Below are 16,338 nucleotides of genomic sequence, written 5' to 3' on the forward strand. Positions count from 1 at the left end.
GCCTGTAATCCCATCACTTTGGGAAGCTGAGGTGGGTGGATCACTTGAGCCCAGGAACTCGAGACCAGCATGGGCAATATCTCTACAAATAAAAAAGAAAAATTTTTTTTTTTTTAGTTAGCCAGGAGTGGTGGCACACCTCTGAGGCCTCAGTTACTCTGGAGGCTGAAGTGGAAGGATCTTGTTTAAGCCCCAGCAATTGAGGTTGCAGTGACCTGTGTTCACACCGCTGCACTCCAGCTTGGGCAACAGAGTGAGACCCTGTCAAAAAAAAAAAAGAAAGAGAGAGAGAGAGAGAAGGAAGGAAGGAAGGAAGGAAGGAAGGAAGGAAGGAAGGAAGAAAAAAAGAAAGGCAATTTAGGTCAGGTACAGTGGCTCACTCCTGAAATCTCAACACTTTGGGAGGCTGAGGTGGGAGGAGGATTGCATGAGGCCAGGAGTTCAAGACCAGCCTGGCCAACATGATGAGACCTCATCTCTATTTTCAAAATAAAAATATTTTTTAAAAACAAACAAGGTAATGGATGTGGATGTTCTATATTATTCATTGTTATGAAATGACATTATTATTTTCATATATAATATACTATGCACAAGAACATTTGTAATGTAGTCAATACTTTTATAGACTGATATTATCAAAGACTATAATGTAAAATAACACCTTGATGGTATGTTTTCAAAACCAAATTTAACCCTTAAAGACCATTACAGTAAAACTTAAGTTATTATCATGATTCCTCTGTTCAAATGAATATAATGTATTATTGTTTTTCGAAATGTGCACCCTAGAAGGATGTGTCTTTGGTCTGACTCCAAAATTTTAAACACCATCTTCAAAATCTGTTTCAAAGTAAGAAGAACTGTATGGCTCAGATTGTTGCAATCCATCATGGTAACTCTAGATGTCTTGAAATACCACTAGCAGTAAAGTTCTGTATTTTCTGAAGCTTCCTAGGTAGCTTTGAAACCCATAACAGTTAGCAAATGATTGGTTGGCATGTTTATATTTCATGGTCACAGTTTAAGCTAAAATTTCACTCCCTGAAAATAAGGTTAGAGGTGAGTTCCACCTGGATGATTAAGAGCCATTATTGACAACACAGAATAAAAGTTTCAGAACCACATTTTTCTTGGTGCTAAGACATGCGTGGAAGAGAAAGAAATAATGACGAGTTAATGGGTGCAGCACACCAGCATGGCACATGTATACATATGTAACTAACCTGCACATTGTGCACATGTACCCTAAAACTTAAAGTATAATAATAATAAAATTAAATTAAATTAAAAAAAAAGAAATTGTTTCTTACAGAAAAATTGCATAGAACTCATGAAATGACAACATTAAGAGTAGAAGTCAATACTCAATGGTGACCATCAAGAAACACCCTTTAAATAATAAGTCCTTGGGACCCAAAGCATGTACTTCCCAGTAAGCTCTTGTTACCTAGGATCTCAAACTAGGTAATTCAAGAAGCTCCAACCTAGTTAGAGATACCATCCTGGAATAGGGCTTAGTTAGGCCTAAGGTCTACAACAGACTCTGCAATTAATTTAACATTAGCAGAAGCATTTTACAAATTACTGTGAACATTTCTTCCAGCCATAATCTTTTACAGTTTCTTTTGTGTTTTTTAAAAGGTCATCTATTTGAATTCCTTCTTCTAAGCAAGAGTACAAATAGTCTCTTATTCTTTGACCTTTCATTCGTTTCCCTAGTCTTTGAATATCAGGAAGCAGAGAGAAATCTGTTTCTCTCTCCACCTACCTTACAACAGCAAAGACTTTTGTCAAATTGCTAGTGAATCGGCCACAGCTTGCCCTGGGTACTTGTTCAAATTCCTCTGAGTGATTTAGAAAACAGCAATTTCTGCCTATTTTCTAGGATGTGATGTTTTCCTGACAAAGCACAGGACACAAGTAACAATATAACATATACTATGAGAGTGTCTCCCCACGGTGGGGACAAGATGACCACACATCCTGGTTGGCCTACAACAATGTTGTGTTGTGCCAGTGTCCTGGAAAAACTATCAAGAGCAAGACTCTCAAAAGTTTTTCCAGATGATGGAGTACCTGGCTCTACCATATGTGGAGCAGATTTCCCAGAAATCCAGTCCAAGGAATTTCCAAGCTCCACCACAGTGTGGAATCTCTCCCAGATACTCTGTTAAAGGGAGTAACACACTAAGTGAAACCTTCTCTCCTCAGGACCAAGATACCATCCAACTTCTGAGTAAGCAACCAATGCCCTAACTCCACTTTTCCTGCTTCTCCCTTTCAGTCCTCCAAAGGACAAGAGTATTCTGCACCTGAATTTCTAGGGAGGGTCCAGCAGGAACTGTCTTTCGAGTCTTTCAACATCAGGATATAGGATTTGTGGCAAAAAAGAAAAATATGTACCATACATGTCTGTCTTCACACACACAAAAATAAGTCTTCTGGAAGGACTTTGCAGGAAAACATGGGTACTTTAGTGTGTGATGTCTGTGGGTTTGAACTTCGGGGCACATCCAGATATGTAGGAATAACACATCAGTGTATTTTCTGTGACTCAACCCATTTTAACTTAGCCACTAGTGAAAGTAGGAAGAAAACTTCACCTCAGTCACATTTAGGGCTCTCCCCTCCCTTTAGAAAAGATCTTGGGCCATGATTCCAAAATCTTTCCCCATATCAGAGATAGGGTAGAGATTCTGTGACTATGGTCAGGGTCAGGATTAGTCAGGAGATTTAGTCACCACCAAATTGCACCTGCTGTCTTGGCTGCATAGCTCCTTCTTGTCCAGCAGCTCTTGGCAGCTCCTGATGCCACACTTGAAGCACAGGTATACTTTTTTTAAAGCTGCCAACAGACCACTCTGCCTAGATGTATCAGTGATAGCATTAGCAAGAGGCAGAGCCAGTATCTTCACTGCTCTGAGACCCGTGTTTCCCCATTTCTTCCCCCTAGCTCTTCTGAGTCCAGGAGGAATATCTTTCTTGTGTGGGGCAGGAGTTAAGTGCTGCTTTTTCCCTTGGTTATCCAGAACTCTGCATTTACTGGAAAATCCTTATTCCTTTATCTCTTCTGCAAATTACTCTTCAGGTTTTAGGCTTTGGGAAAATAAAAGCCAGAAAGATTTGCAGGCTAATTTTGCATTAGCCCTGCCACATTTCCCCTGAGGCAACATAACAGAAAGTCAGCTACCAGCTTGAATAAGGGTAGGAATAGAGAAAAATAAGGGAAGGGGAAAACATCTCAAAACAGTATCTAGCCACGAAATCAACAGGAAAACAAAATCAAACAGTGTTAAGTTGCTCTCTCCTTATCCGTATAGTAACCTGATGAAAATGTGTTTTCTTCAGGGAAGCATTCCCTGAGGAGTGTAGGCACTCCTTTATAAATATTCTATTGAAAATCAGACCTGGCAACAGTGAATCTTCGTGACTTCCTGCACAACCCCAGGAAGTGAGCTGTGGCTTGCCACTCAGACAAGGCCACCTAGACAAGGCCAGTACCCTTCACTTGGCCACAGTCTCTGTTACTCATCCAGTAGACCCTTGAATTTGAGAGCCTTGGTCCAAGCACCTGTGTTGTAAGTTCTGTGATGTCAAAGATTGGGGTTTTTTTGTTGATTACAACAAGCACAGTGTCTGGCACATATTAGGACTTGATGTGTATGTCTACAATGAATAGATTCAAACCTCCTCTCCCTCCCAAAACCCATAACATTTTGTTTTTATTCAACTCTGCCTTATTAATCCTCCCTCCCAAAAGGATTTGATGTATTTATTATACATGACAACTGTATCCTGACACTTACCTGCAATATACAAGGTTGAGCAGAGTGAGTCTTCTCCTCAGTGGCCTCCAGCCAGAGGAAATACTCATATGACCTCCTGGGCCTCTCTGGGTCACGATATCTGGGCTGCTGCCTCTACACACACACACCCCAACATATACCCTAGCTGTATCTGGAGTCAACCTCATTGTGTGTCTAATATCAGTCAGTCTCCCCATCTAGAACGTGAACTCTAGGAGAGGAGTAAGAAGAGTTCTGGTTCCATTGTACCCCCAAGCCCAGCACAGCACCTGCCATCAGAAAGGGTACTTTCTACTCTATGAGAGTAAAAGAAAGATAATAGCGCCCCCACCCCCACACCCTTACTTAAATTCCAAATGTTTCTCAGGTGCACAGTTCCAGGGTAACAAAGCATGTTTTACTTCAGGTTCCTTTATTTTATGCATTGCCATAGCTGCATGGCAAAAGCATTTACTCCTTTTGTACTAAATCACTGTCTTCCTCCTCCCTTCCCAATCTTTAGTTTTTTAAACTATTCCTAAGATAATATAAGTATTTCATTTTGACTAAGTTTACTGGGATTGGGTCTGCCCAATTTTCAAATAACAAATACATAGTGGTTCAACATTCATGGCATTCATTCAGTAAGCATTGACTGAGCTGCTTTTATTTGCTAGATACCAAGCTAGGTGCTAGAGATATAAAAGTGAATAGGACCTGTAGTCCACAGTCTCTAAATGAGGCCATAAATGATCCATCCCCAGGGAAATGGTGAACTCAGAGAACCCCACAATGCAAATCAAGGTACAGCTTTTCCTGTCTGATGAACTGTTAAGGACTTAAGATAAGTTTCCTAGACAACTTGAACCAAAGCCAGCTTCCCAGGGTTTTGGGTTATCTTCTAAAGCTGATGTAGTCATAAATTTTCTATAGACTCCCAGCCCTTCCAGAGATTCCTCTGTTTTCCCATATCAATCCAATTACTCATGCCCAACTGTCTCTCATTCTATCTCTCTATCTCATTCTATCTCTCTGGACCTTTATTCTGGAGAGATCTCATTTTCTTGTAATGTGTACAAGTTGTGATTTGTTCACTACCCCATGCTCTCTGTCACTGACTCAAAATCTGAAATGAGATAATGTATGTAACAACAGCCTGCACTAGGCAGGCATGTGAATGTTACCTCTCTTCTCCCTTCTTCCCCAAAATGCCAATGCTGAAATTGCTTCTCTGTCAAATGGAGCACTCACATTTTGAGAGCTTGTTTTTATTTCTATTTCTTTCTCCCTCACCATCTTTGCCGAGACTGACAAATGTTCCAGTTAATGCCAAGCCCCCTTCCCTCAGATGTAAGAAAAAAGAGGCCTGAAAATTGTAACCAACTCATGAAAATAGTTCTCTGAGCAGATAAGTGAAAGTGAAACAACAAAAAGAAGTTGAATTTTTTCCTGCACTGTTTCACCTTTTGGTCATGACAAGACTTCTTCAATGATAATGGAATGTACACTTTGCTCTGTTTTTTCCTTGACAGCCCTTAATCAGTTTTCCCCTAGTTATCCAGCGCGTGGGTGGCTGGAGGGACTTCTCCCAAAGCTTCAAGATGAAATGACTTTCTGAGAGATGTATGAACCAAGACTCCAGCCCACTCAAAGTACAGATCCTAATGAGTCATTTCAATTTTAGGAAGCATATTAATCTAAAAGGTGCCTGAGCCAGAAAACAAAATTCTCTTGACTGTGAGAGTTAAAAATAGTTTTTGTTACAAGCAAAGGGGAAACTCCTCCTAGCATATAAATCATTCACCATTGCCACATGGAAGATGTCAACTTAGGCTGGTGTCTCTGGCTTTTGCCAGACACAGAGTTGTTTCAAAAATAATGGCATAAATTCCTATTGCCCAATTCCTCTGGGACCACTACATAAAGCATTTAATTCATATTCTGTCAAGTCATTGAGCAGTCAGCACTTACCAAAGAACTTAATACTGAATGTGATTGCTTCATTATGTGTAACTATCTTTAACTTGAGCAATAATGCTATGGGGTCACTTAGAACTTGACACAGAGTCGCAGATTGAAGGGGAGGTCTGCTGCCACAGACACCAGCTGACCTCCTGACAAAATGATTCACTTTTTCCTGGTAGTGGCACTCCAGATTCTCAGAAAATTCCTTTTACATTTGTTATACTTTTGTCTTTCAAGTTGTCTTCATTTACTAAAGTTCAGTGAAAGAAAATCACAGTATAGGAAAAACTAGGCCAGGCACGGTGGCTCACGCCTGTAATCCCAGCACTTTAGGAGGTGGAGGCGGGTGGATCACCCGAAGACAGGCGTTCGAGACAAGCCTGGCCAACATGGTGAAACCCCGTCTCTACTAAAAATACAAAAAGTAGCTGAGCGTGGTGGCATGCACCTGTAATCCCAGCTACTCGGGAGGCTGAGGCAGGAGAATCACTTGAACCTGGGAGGCAGAGGTTGCGGTGAGCCAAGACCGTGCCGTTGTACTCCAGCCTGGGCAACAAGAGCAAAACTCCATTTCAAAAAAAAAAAAAAGGAAAAACTATACTTCTGGTTGAAATCCCTTAAACTTATTGGACAGTGCATTGGTAATTCAGTATCATGTTTCTTAAAGAAAAAGAAAAACAAGATCTTTTAAGGCTGAATAATATCTCATTGTATATATACACCACATTTTCTTTATCCTTTCATTCATTAACAGACACTTACGTTGTTTCCATATCTTGGCTATTGTGCTTTGATGAACAAGAGAGTACAGATATCTCTTCAACATACTGATTTCATTTCCTTTGGGTATATACCCAGAAAAGGCATTTCTCGGTCATATGATAGTTTTATTTCTTACTTTTTTGAGGAAGTTTCATAACCTGCACTGATTGACATTTTTGTTTGTTTGTTTTTTGAGACAGAGTCTTACTCTCACTCAGGCTGGAGTGCAGTGGTGCAGTCATGGCTGACTGCAGCCTCGACCTCCTGGGCTCGAGCAATCCTCCCACCTCAACCTCTCAAGTAGCTGGGACTACAGGTGTGAACCACCATGCCTGGCTAGTTTTTAAATTTTTTTGTAGAGAGGGAATCTCACCATGTTGTTCAGGTTAGTCTTGAACTCCTGGACTCGCAATCCTCCTGCCTCGGCCTCCTAGAGTACTGAGATTATAGGCATAAGCCACCATGCCCAGTCCAACTTACATTCTTACCAGCAATGTACAAAGATTCCCTCTTCTCTAGACCATCAGTGACACCTGTTATCTCTTGTTTTCTTGATAATAGCCATTCTAACAGGTGTGAGTAATATCACACTGTAGTTTGATTTGCATTTTCCTAATGATTAGTGATGTTGAGCACCTTTTCATATATACTTGGCCATTTTTTATGTCTTCATTGAAGAAATGTCTATTCAGGTACTTTGCCCATTTTTAAAATCAGATTATTATTATCATTTTACTATTAAACTGTATAAATGTCTTACTATATATTTTAGATATTAACGCCTTAGCAGATATATGGTTCACAAATGTTTTCTCCCAATCAGTAGGCTGTCTTTTGATTTTGTTGATTGTATACTTTGCTATGCAGAAGTTTTTGAGTTTGATCTCTTAAAAGAAAAATTTTAGACAAATTAAATGTAACAGAGTTTAATTGAAAAACTCCAGCTGAATTAAATTTAAAGGAGTTTAAGCAATAAATGTTTCACAAATCGGGCAGCCCCCAGAATCACAGAAGATTCAGAGAGAATCCAGGGGGCCTCGTGGTCAGATCAAATTTATAGACAAAAAAAGTAAAGTGATATACAGAAATCCAAAGTGAGGTACAGAAACAGCCAGATTAGTCACAGGTTGGCATTTGCCTTATTTGAACACAGTTTGAACACTTGGCAGTGTATGAGTGGTTGAAGTATGTCTGCTGGGATTGGCCAAGACTCAGCTATTGTTATAGGCACATACTGCTAAGTTAAGTTTTCAATCTTGTCTACTTGTTAAATTAGGTTGCAGTTAGTTCACAAGGACTCAGATATAGAAGTATGGAGTCCTTCTCAGGCCATATTTAGTTTGCTTTAACAATTCCCCCCTTTTAGTCGTTTTCTTCATTTTGAGAGACTGACCAAAATGTTAGTCATTGATGCCACTATTACCTTGTAAATGTACTTATTTGGTCTTGGAACCCACTGGGAAACAGTAGAACAGTGAGTTTTGCAAAGGTAGGAACAAGGGTTCCTCCTTATACTGGAACATCCTGTTTACAGGAGAAAAACAAAACCTGGTCTGTTCTGGACCAGGATCTATGTGTTTCCTTAAAAACTTAGTTTGATTATATCACACTTAGCACGAGCAACTCCATTTTGGTTTGGTTTAGTCTGTTAGGGCCTATTGCATGAGCTCAGTCCAAAAAAATGGACTGCCATAATTTTGCTTAAAAAAAAAAAATCCCCCTTTGGTCAGGTTCTTACTTAGGTGAGAGTATGATTTAAAAAAACTTGGGGCCTTAGCACCACTCTCAGCGTGATTTTGGGTTTCTAGTCTCAGCATATCATTCATAGGTTTGGTATCCTCATGGTCACACATTTCTTTCAGCTCTTGTCATTCCACTTGAAGAGAGACCATTTGACATTCTAGAGATGGCTGCATGCAAATATTTAAGACATTTGAGAGAATACAGCGCACCAGGGGTTCTACTATTGTGACTATGGGGAGGATAATACCAAGAGTTTGCAGTATGCTCCTTACCCAGAGCTCCCATAAACCAAACCACCTAAAGTCAAATAGATCAAAGAATTAGTTAGTCTACTTGCTTAACTAAGCACTCTTTTTGTTAATCCCCTACAACTGAATCTCTAAAATATCCAATGTTTTCTCCATAGGCCATGAGTGCCAGTACCTGCACAGATACTTTCCTGTTTCGCCAATTCTATTATTTAGCATAACTTTCACAAGAGAATTTAAAGTCTGTTGTGTAACCATAGCCTTTACAGTAGAATCTGCTATAGAGCCTATCATGAGGAATACACTTCTAGTCATTGCCTCTTTTATTCCAAACCATGGAAAAAGGACCTAAAACACGATGCCCTTCTAGAAGAGTAAAGGCCTCCTGGAAGTGTTCTCTTTAACCCATGATGTGGGTTAAGAGAAGTGAATCAATGTTCTGTTTCTTACTGATTATGCGGCGACATATGTACCATTAAAGTTTCTCACCTGCATTGGGACTTCTCTTTCATCTATCAAAGTATAAGGTTATCTATGTATAAGGCTAGCTGAAAAATCCTTCACAAATAAAAGTACACACAGTGGGATACAAAAGTATCCCATAAGTGCACACAACAGACCCCCTATTCATTTCTATTGTTCATAGAGGCATAAACGAAAAGATATTCATAGATAAGAGTCTCATGATTGTAGAGAAGTCTTGATCTGTGATCTTGGGAAAAGCTGTTCACATCAAGGATACCATCTCCCTGGTTAGCTTTACCTTAAGCATTCCAATGGGTGTACAGTTCCAAGAGTGTGGAGGGACCCTTCTCAGTTGTGAGATTATGAACCGAAAGTTCAAGGTTCCAAAGTTTGTGTTGCAGTGTGGATAGCAAGGGCAGTCTTTCTCTTATGTTCTCAGAAGATAGAGTTCTTGGGTTCTAGATTGTAAAGGGGTTGAATGTCATCAGTGAACCACAAAAACCTTTCTTTACCTGGTGAAAATACAGTGTAGCATAATAATCTACTGTTATAACATCAGTGCTCTTACATGGGAGAGCTTTTATACAACCAGAAAACATGCATTGAAAATGACAGTTGAATGAAATCCCTTTATAAAATGTTTAAATGGCCCATCAGGTAAACAAATGTACTTGAGGCTTTGATTGTTTTTCCAAGAATATGGGTTTGACAAACCAAATATTGGTTATAAGCTATTTTAGCAATTTATTAGTCACCACACCAATATATTTAATTTGGATCATTTTATCTTTTCCATTATGAGTCATGGAATGCAGAACTTTTAATAATAAAAGCTTTAAGGACTCAGGAAGGACAAGGTGGCATGAGTCCTTGTTTAATATTGGACTTATATCCTCTTGAATACGAGTTGTTATTCCAAATTAGGTGTCTAGCACTGATAACTGATGAGTTACCATAGGTAATTTGACTTAGACCATGGAGTTCATTCAAATTGTATAGCTAAGCAGTTTCAGTATTCGCTGATTTAACATGCAAATCTGGCAAAGTATTTCCTTGGTATTCAATTGATTTTTGTTCTCCTTGGGTTAGCAGTTTTATAAACCAGTCAGTCTTTTTATTAAAGTTTCAGGAATTCTTATCCAGTCCAATCCTTGGGGAATTGGGGAATTCATGGGGAATTTTTACCCATGATACGATTTTAAAGTTATTAGAAACCTGTATTCAAGAGTGCTTTTCAGGGTCCTTTTCATCCTTTCATGAACCTCCTAAAAGACACCATATTCTAGGATTTTCCTTGCTTGTGAAGTTCAGAAACTGCATTAGCATTAAGCAGTTAACTGTGGAAATGACTTTAAATAGTCAGTTAAATACACAATTAACAAGGAAATTTGGTTATTTCTGTGGTCTACAATAACTTAACATAATAACCATAGTTATGATTGATAGCATATACTCAGACATATTAGAATTTTAGAAATCCCATACAATTTTGGAACATATTGATGGTATACACTAAAATATAACCTGAAGAAGGTTAAACATTATCTTTTATTTTGACAATGCTTCCCTTATAACTTAACATGTCACATAATTCTGTTTACCTCTCTTTTGCATGCTTCAGGAGCCCTCTGCAGCATCTCAAAGTTAGAGGTCAGAAAAGACAATTTTGAAGCTGAAATTTGATTTTGGGAAGCCCATCAAATATATTAAAGGTTTGAAACACTTGATATTATTAAACAGAATTCCAGGTTGCCATAAGTCATTCATTTAGCCAAAATGATGACTCAAAATATTTTAAAAAGGCAAAAACCTTTACTCATTGATGGAGGGAAGACTTAGCTTTCCAAAAAATTTGTCTTTTATCTTTCCCTTCTTTTTTCGGTAGTTTATTCGAAAGGTAAACAAAAATCTTTCATTATCTTTTAATATTACATGAAAATCTTGTTCAAGAGAGAAAACCACATTTCACCCTTGCATTAGTGTACTATTAATGTCAACCTCAACTTTTAATAAAACCTTATAGACAAGACAAATCTATCTAATCTTAATCAGTTTGACCATAAGGTCAAAAGGTTTATTCTCATAAAGCTTTTATAAGCCTTTACAAATTTTGGTTAAAGAGCAGATCAGTGCTTTAAGAAAACCCTGTTGTGCTCTTATTCCAATGTTCAATTTATGGAAAAACTTAATAATACCCCTTTAACTTTAGTCAGTGTCCACACAGAATTTCTTTTTATAAGATTGATTTTTCACAAACCTTCCACAACTTGTTCAAACTTTTAGCTTTATCCTATCTAATATAAAACAATCCTTTAACCCTCTAAACTTAGGCAAGAAAATCCACATTTTTATGCATTCTTATAGTCTTTTCTAAAAATACATTTTACTTTCTTTACATACCTTGCATGTAAAAATTTTTTTCAGTGGTCTCCATTACATATGATAATGGTAACTCTTAGCAATTTTCAATTTTGGTGAAAAACCTGGTAAGTTATTTTAGTTATATACTAGGTGTGGAGCCTAGGAAATCAGACAGAAGTGCAGATAGGGTCTGACTCTTTCCAGCATAGCTAGGGGTGTGGCTAACTCCACACATGCCCAGGCCTTACCAAGCTGTAAAGCAGGAAAGATGAACAATTTTCAAAAACCAAAGAAGCAGTTTATAACCTTAAAGCATTTAGCAAACCTAATATCTGACCTAATTTAGACCAAATGTCTTTATTTTAAATTATCTTTAAAACTTTTTATTTCTCAAAGATTACAAAAGTCACATGAACTAAAAGCCATTACAGTTTTTATTTTTCTTTCAAAATATTTGATTTAAGCACTTATTTTTAAGCCAATTAATTAGAGCTCTTTTATATGAACATCACACACACACAACATATATATAACTACACAGACAGACAGAAGAAGATCCAATAGTTGTTAAGATTTTTCATTTGCCAGTTTTGAAGTTTCTTAATTGGATTACTGGATTTAGAGTGGAGTCCTTAGAGGAATAGGGCCAGGAAAGCATGCAGTTTTTACAAAATCTAGAATCTTCAAAGGTAGCTCAAAGAAAGGAAAATTCAAGAAGAGAAGCCAGAAGTTGTTCATGGAGGGGAAAAGATAAAGGTCATGCAGATATTAAACCAGAAAGTACTCATTCCCTAAGCCAGGATTCAACCTGGACCACCATTGTAAAATGGCAGACATCAAAAGAAAGTACTGCCATGTGGTTACAAGGTTTAGCTCCCAAGGACATAAAACAAGATGGAGGCCTCATCTATTTTTTTTTTCTTTCTTCAGAGATCTGCAGCAAAATTTATAACAGACCAGCTTTCTGGGCCATCTTGAATAGCGAGCTTATGGGTTCCTAAGCCCGTGTTCTATCCTAAGGTACCCCTCTTTATGACAGAATGACAAAGAAAGACAAATTCATATCACAAAATACACCAGATTTGCTACAGCTTAAGACTAGCCTCAGAATCCTTTTTCACATTAATCAAAACTTTACAGAGGAGATAAACAGTGGTTTTTACCATTCCTTTAACCGGTTTGCACAGAGAGAGAGGGGCCAGAAGTCTGACTGTAAGAAATTCTTGCCCTTTTGCTGGCATGTCAGCTTTCTAAGTTCTCTTTCCCTGAATGGCCCTAGCGACCCTGCTTGCCACACTATAGCCCTGGAGACCAAGCCACAACACAAAAGAAAATCTTTTTTTTTTCCCCTCTCTGTTTCATGGAACCCCAGGCAGAAGCCTCTCAATTTTGTAAGATGCTGTCCAAGGAGTTTCATCCGGTAACCAAATTAACATTTTCCATTCCTGCCAGAGCAAAATGTGTGTGACAAAACATAGACATTAGCCACTCTGCTTAGCACCCAGTATTAGACTGGCAAGGCTCAAACTTGCCCCCGGTTGGGCCTTGTCATCTTTAGTCCCTTTTAACCAAGAAGGACTTTACTGAGGGGAGGGCCTCTAACCCAAACTTATCCTTTACTCAGGTAAAATGTACCCCCATTACTTATCCAAAGTCAGCCAATTGGTGCTGCCGTCTATTTCTTTGGATCAGGATAGTAACTAAGATAAAAGGTTAGCAGATTTAATTTTGGGGAGCCCTCATTTTTAAATACACTTCAATGTGTTGTTTATCCAGAACATTCCACTGTAAGTTATCTTTAGTAAGATTTTGCCATTTCTGTAAGACTTTGCTCCTCCCTGGGTCTAATGTATAAGTCAAAGGGAACTCAGTTTTTCAGCAATTCAGGATCCCATTTTTACCTAAAGTATTGGCTTTGCTCTCAGGTTCCCTTGGTTAACTTAGCCAATGATTTTTTTTTCCTACCTAAGTGCACAAGAAAAGTGAAATGAAGGGGTAGAACACAAAAATCCCTGTGAATTTTCAAAAGCCAAATTTTACAACCCCTGCAATATTATCATTTACTACCAGTTTCTTCTGACCCAGTCAGATGTAAGAGGCCTCTAACTGGATCCAAGACAGTTAATTACTGGATCAAATCTGATCCTGGACCTAGTCCAGTTTCTGTTGTGACTTCCAAACCCAGTTTGGAACAGAAATTTGTTCAAAGAAACTCAGAGAGCTCAAAACACAAATCCATGGAACTCTAAAATTTAAGAGAGAACTTACCCATGATTCCCAGCTGCTCTGAGAGATCAGCGGACACAGGTGGGTCCTGCGGGTACCTTGAGTGTTCACTCCGCACTCCTGGGGTCGTTAAAGCTCTACTTCGGACCCTGCTTCTGACACCATCTATTAAAAACTCCAGCTGTATTAAGTTTAAAGGAATTTAATCAAGCAATGAATGATTCACAATTTGGGCAGCCCCCAGAATCGCAGCAGATTCAGAGACTCCAGGGGGGGCCTCCTGATCAGAACAAATTTGTAGACAAAAAAGTAAAGTGACGTATGGAAATCAGAAGTGAGGTACAGAAACAGCTGGATTAGTTACAGGTTGGCATTTGCCTTATTTGAACACAGTTTGAACACTCAGCAGTGAGTGAGTGGTTGAAGTATTGCTGCTGGGATTGGCCAAGACTCAGCTATTGTTGTAGGCACATGTTTCTAAGTTAGGCTTTCAATCTTGTCTACCTATTAAGTTAGATTGCAGTTTGTCCACAATGATTTGAATATAGACGTACAGTGTCCTTCTCAAGCCTTATTTAGTTTGCTTTAACAAGTCCCATTTGTTTATTTTTGCTTTTGTTGCCTGTGTTTTGGGTGTGATATTCAAAAAATCAGCTGGGGCCAGTGGCTTATGCCTGTAATCCTAGCACTTTGGGAGGCTGAGGCGGGCAGATCACTTGAGGCCAGGAGTTCGAGACTAGCCTGGCCAACGTGGTGAAATCTCATCTCTACTAAAGATACAAAAATTAGCTGGGTGTCATGGCAGACACCTATAATCCTAGCTGCTGGGGAGGCTGAGGCTTGAGAATCACTTGAACCCGGGAGGTAGAGGTTGCAGTGAGCCAAAATTGCGCCACTGCACTCCACACCCCAGCTTGGGCCACAGAGTGAGACTCTGTCTCAAAAAAAATAAATTAAATAAATAAATAAATAAATCATTGTCAAGACCAATGTCAGGAGCTTTTCCCATATGTTTTCTTCTAGGAGTGTTGTGGTTTTAGATCTTAACATTTAGGTATTTAATTCATTTTTAGTTGATTTTTTGTACATAGCCTAACATAAGGGTCCCATTTTATTCTTTTGCATGTGAACAGCCAATTTTCCCAATACCATTTATTAAAGAGACTGTCTTTTCCCCCATTGTGTCTTCCAGGTACCCTTGTTAAAAATTACTTGACCATTTTAGATACTCTTGCCACACCAAAAAAAAAAAAAAGTACTTCTGTGAGATGATGGGTGTTAATTTGCCTATAGTAACCATTTCACTATGTATATCAAAACATCAAGTTTTACACCATAAATATATACAATAAGAAAAAAATTCTAAGTGTATCTTAGTTATTTTGCCTAGCAATTGAATCAGCTGATTTCCTCATTCTTTTTTCTTTTCCTTTCTTTACTTCCCCCCTTCCATCTCTCCCTTCCTTCATTTCTATCCTTCCTTTCTATTTCTTTTTTTGTCTTTAGATAACCTAAGAGATATCTTTGACTCTCCAAATATCTGGAAACTAGATGATCTGAGAAACTAGTAACATTAGAGTTTTTCTCTTAAAAAAACTCAGTGAGCCTTTATGCTACCTTTATTGTAAAATACATGAATAAAATAAGGTTTTACCTTAATATGAAGTTATTTTCCCCCATCTGGTTTAGAAAGTACAGAGGCTCAGACAAACTCTCCTATCTCTGGGATTAAGTAAAAGTTTCCCTATCTGATTCCAGGATAATATTAACACGATAAAAGAGGATTCAGGAAAATATAGAACTCTGAGCTTACGAAAATTGATCTCCTGCCTCCTGAGGCTTTGGCACAAATAAAGACTGTGGCCTGAGGCCCAAATTGTACTCAGTCCTTACAAATGCCCTTGCAACAATTCAGTGTTGGTTTTCTTTCTTTTTTTTTTTGAGACAGGGTTGAATTTTTAAGACTTTATGTTGTCTGCTTTCAGAGGGAAGAAAGCAGAAAAATCACTGCTTTACATTTGAAAAGCTCACTTTCTGAAACAGCCGGTTCCCCACTGGGACAGCCAGTGGCTGGCAGTGGATTTGTAAAGGCATCACTCTAATAACTTGCTGACAAGATAAATACTGCTTTAAATTTAAGGCCTCTTTTGGGTCCTAAAATCTGTAAGTTGTTTGCAGTTATGAAAAATTTACAGAGGAAAGAAAATTTTCTTTTATTAAGAGCATTTTCTATATCATTGATACTCTGCTTCTGAATGCTTGTCCCCTGAAATATTTAGGTGACTTGTGGACTCTCAGTACTATGATAAATATAATTTGCAGGAAATGTTGTGATCATTTTCCCCACTCATTCAGACAATTAAATAAGCTTGGACTTCAATCATGCAATCTGTGAAGGTAAACATGCTTTGTTTTTGCAAGAATATTTTTCTGGACTACATAAAATTCAGATTTTGAACCAGTGAATTATGTCATTGCTCACAGATATGCCAGTTTCTCTTTAATACTGCTTACTTCATGCACTGAGGCATGACATCTTTCAGATCTTCTGAGCTAATATCACAGAAGTAACATGACCATAAAAGTGTTTCAAACTGAAACATTTTTGAGAATAAAAGGAGGCCCTATTATTCATGAGGGGACAACAGGCAAACAGGAAGACTTCCCTGAGCTATACATGAAAGATTGAGTGTTTAAAATCTGAAAGCAAATTAGTGAAAGGTAAAAAATATTCTTATTTATCCCACTGCAATTTTTAAAAAATAAAATAACCGCTTCGT

General features: G+C 38.3%; 1 protein-coding gene across 2 annotated transcripts in view, besides 1 other annotated feature; it reads left to right on the forward strand.

Annotated features, from left to right (window-relative positions):
* The window catches only part of SLC35F1 (solute carrier family 35 member F1), a 410,408-nt gene that overhangs the window by 274,960 nt on the left and 119,110 nt on the right, over window positions 1-16,338 (forward strand). The gene's annotated exons all lie outside the window — the stretch shown is intronic.
* Window positions 5,927-6,140: a silencer, noted in NCBI's record as "fragment chr6:118509313-118509526 (GRCh37/hg19 assembly coordinates)". NCBI's record gives its function as "represses an EF-1alpha promoter that drives an FKBP-Casp9 reporter gene in an ReSE screen in phorbol 12-myristate 13-acetate-treated (for megakaryocytic differentiation) K562 erythroleukemia cells {active_cell/tissue: K562(+PMA)}" and the evidence as "EXISTENCE:reporter gene assay evidence [ECO:0000049][PMID:32094911]".

This window comes from Homo sapiens, chromosome 6 (assembly GCF_000001405.40).
Source record: "Homo sapiens chromosome 6, GRCh38.p14 Primary Assembly".
Lineage (NCBI taxonomy): Eukaryota > Metazoa > Chordata > Mammalia > Primates > Hominidae > Homo > Homo sapiens.